Below are 3,390 nucleotides of genomic sequence, written 5' to 3' on the forward strand. Positions count from 1 at the left end.
TTTTATGCAGATTTGAATTAAAAGAGAATTATAGATTTAAATATGAAAGGTAAAACTATGAAGATTTTACTAGATAATATAGGAGAGTATCTTAATCTGTCTGGGGTTAGAAAAGATTACTTACACATTTTTCCAAAAGTTAATTATAGAAGGCATGATTGATGTCTACATTAAAATTAAGAACTTCCAGTCATGAAAAGACATCATTAAAAGACAAAGTCACAGAGTAGATGTTCACAATACATGTAAATGACAAAAGGACTCATATCCAGACTATATAAAAAACTAAAAAAAAAAAAAGTCAGACATTCCTATAGAAAAACAGGTACTTCATAAGTGAGGGAATCCTGGCTGGGCACGGTGGCTGACACTTGTATTCCCAGCACTTTGGGAGGCTGAGGCAGGTGGATCACTTGAGGCCAGGAGTTCAAGACCAGCCTGGCCAACATGGTGAAATCCCATCTCTACCAAAAATACAAAAATTAGCCAGATGTGGTGGCACGTGCCTGTAGTCCCAGCTACTCAAGAGGCTGAGGCAGGAGAACTCCTTGAATACGGGAGATGAAGGTTGCAATGAGCCGAAATAGTGCCCCTGGGCCACAGAGTGTGACTCTGTCAACAACAACAGCAACAGCAAAAGTGAGGAAATCCAAAAGGCTAAAAAACTTATTTTAAAATGTTCAATCTAATCCATAATGCAGGATTGCAAATCAGATTCCATTGCACATGCACCATTGTGGCTTAGCACAAATGGAAAGCAAAGAGAAATTTCTTCCTTTACGAGATAAGAAGTTGCTGTTGGTAGGAGTGTAAATTGTGTAACTATGTATAAAACACTTGGTCATTAATCAGTAAAGTTTAAGATACGCATACTTTGAAACCCAACAATTCTAATCCTCGATATTGCCAGAGAAATTTAGAAATATGAATACTAGGATCCATGTGTAAGAATGTTCATAGTTGTTACTGTATATAAAGGCCTGAAACTGGCCAGGTGTGGTGGCTCACACCCGTAATCTCAGCATTTTGGGAGGCCAACGTGGGCGGATGACCTGAGGTCAGGATTTCGAGACCAGCCTGGCCAATATGGTGAAACCCCATCTCTACTAAAAATACAAAAATTAGCCAGGCATGGTGGTGCAGGCCTGTAATTCCAGCTACTCGGGAGGCTGAGGCATGATAATCGCTTGAACCCGGGAGGCAGGGGTTGCAGTGAGGCAAGATTGCGCCACTGCACTCCAGCCTCGGTGACAGAGTGGGACTCCATCTCAAAAAAAAAAAAAAAAAAAAAAAAAAAGCCTGAAACTGGAAAGTCAGAAATTTATATCAATATTAGAATGGACTAATACACTGTGTTATAATCAAGTTTGTTTTTTCCCAAATGTTTTACCTGTGTTAATTCAATCTCCACAAGAACCCTATGAGGTAGATATTCTAGGGGATGTTTGCCCTTGAGGCCCTATAAAAATTAGCATCTTGGGGCACTGCATAGAAATAGTAACACATGTAAGAGTCCCATATTCGAAGGCAGATGAGAATTCTAGATCTTCCTGGGCTTTTGACTTGCCTTGGCCAAACCTAACTTCCTTGAGCCTTGTTATCTTCATGGAAGATCTCTACCACGTTATCAAAAATAGTCATCTTGTACCCAAAATGAAACCTCTTGCTTTGCCAAAGGCCTATCAAGTACCACCATAAATTGGGGTCCCACAGGGAAGAAAGGTATCAAGGGACAGGGGATCCAGGTGGAGAGGCCGTGGGCTCTGCTGAGCTTTTGAGGCTTCTTGGGGGTGAGTGTGGTGAAGGGAAAGTCAGGGTATGGAGAGCGAGGCTTCTCTGAGGGCTGAGCCAAGCCACACAGGGCCAATCCTTGGGCAGGCAGACTGGAAAAGTAGGCCTTCTGCTCTTCTGAGTAGCACTCCTGGGGTGTCACAGCATCCTGATAAGTCCAGTGACGCCATTCATAAGATAAGTTTAATAAGTTTCTAGTCAATAAGTAAAAATCAATTCTATTTCTATACCCCAGAAAAAAATCAGAAGCTGTAAAAAAAAAAAAAAGGCAACCATTACAATAGACAATAGCAATGAAAAATATGAAATGCTAGAAATAATTCTAACGGAAAATCTGCAAGACTTTTATGGAGAAAATTGAAACCTTCTTAGAACACATTAAATAAGATCTAAGTAAATGGAGAATTCTTAGATAGGAATCTCCCAAATTGATTATATATCTTGAATAAAAATTTTAATTTATGAAACTAGCTGATTTTAAAATTCACTGCATAGAGCAAAAAGCCAAGGGCAGTTAACATATTCATGAAGAACAGGTGAAATAATTTGCTTTCCCAAATATTAAGGCTTATAAACAGTATCTTATTTGGTGCAAGGATAAATAAATTGACATATTGATAAGTAAATTGATTTATTGAACAGAAGTCAGTTTGTTATTATATAGAGAAGTTGTACATGACCAAATTTATATCCATTCTTACCTAGGGAAACACATGTGCACAAGCAAACATGTGCACAAGAATGTCCGCAGCTGCACTGCTTATAATATTCCCAAATTGAAACAACCCAAATGTCTATCAATAGGACAATTGATTGACATATAGCCATGAAAATAAATGCTTGCTAACTATATGCAATAACATAATTTTCAGAACATACTGAGTGAAAAAGCAAATCGGAAAAATATCCATAGCATTGTTCTACCTACATAAAATTTAAAACAAGGAAAATTGAGTTATTTAGGGATAGGTCGCGCTATCACTCTAAAGATGAATGTGCTATTCCGGATAATAGTAACATCTTGGGGGAATGCGTGTAGGCAGAGAAATGGCGGTCAGGGAGGAGCACAGAGCGGCTGTCTAAGGTACTGGAAATTTTTAAGTTCCTAAACAAGATGGGATGTACATGCGTACTATGTACACGCTGTACACGTGTACATGCCCTCAAATTAAAATGCACTCTTACCATTTATCAGTTTCTTGTAACATTCTGATCTTTCTTCTGGATATTTTATATTGTTTACTAATCTAGTTGTCTATTACCATTACAGTACTAAGTGGCTATTTATTTTGTTATTCTCACAACGTGCACTTTATATTTTAAGTTGTGTGTATTATATATTTCAAAGTAGAATTTTTAAAAAATACAATAAAAGTTTCTTTATTTTCTTCTTTTTTTGAGATGGAGTCTCACTCTGTCACCCAGGCTGGAGTGCAGTGGCGCCATTTTGGCTCACTGCAACCTCCGACTCCCGGGTTCAAACAATTCCTTGCCTCAGCCTCTGAGTAGCTGGGATTACAGACGCCCGCCACCAAGCCCAGCTAATTTTTTTTTGTGTATTTTTAGTAGAGACGGGGTTTCACCATCTTGGCCAGGCTG

General features: G+C 38.6%; 1 pseudogene; it reads right to left on the reverse strand.

The window, feature by feature from the left end:
* On the reverse strand, positions 1,716 to 1,964 carry MMACHCP1 (MMACHC pseudogene 1; annotated as a pseudogene).

This window comes from Homo sapiens, chromosome 3 (assembly GCF_000001405.40).
Source record: "Homo sapiens chromosome 3, GRCh38.p14 Primary Assembly".
NCBI classification, from domain to species: domain Eukaryota; kingdom Metazoa; phylum Chordata; class Mammalia; order Primates; family Hominidae; genus Homo; species Homo sapiens.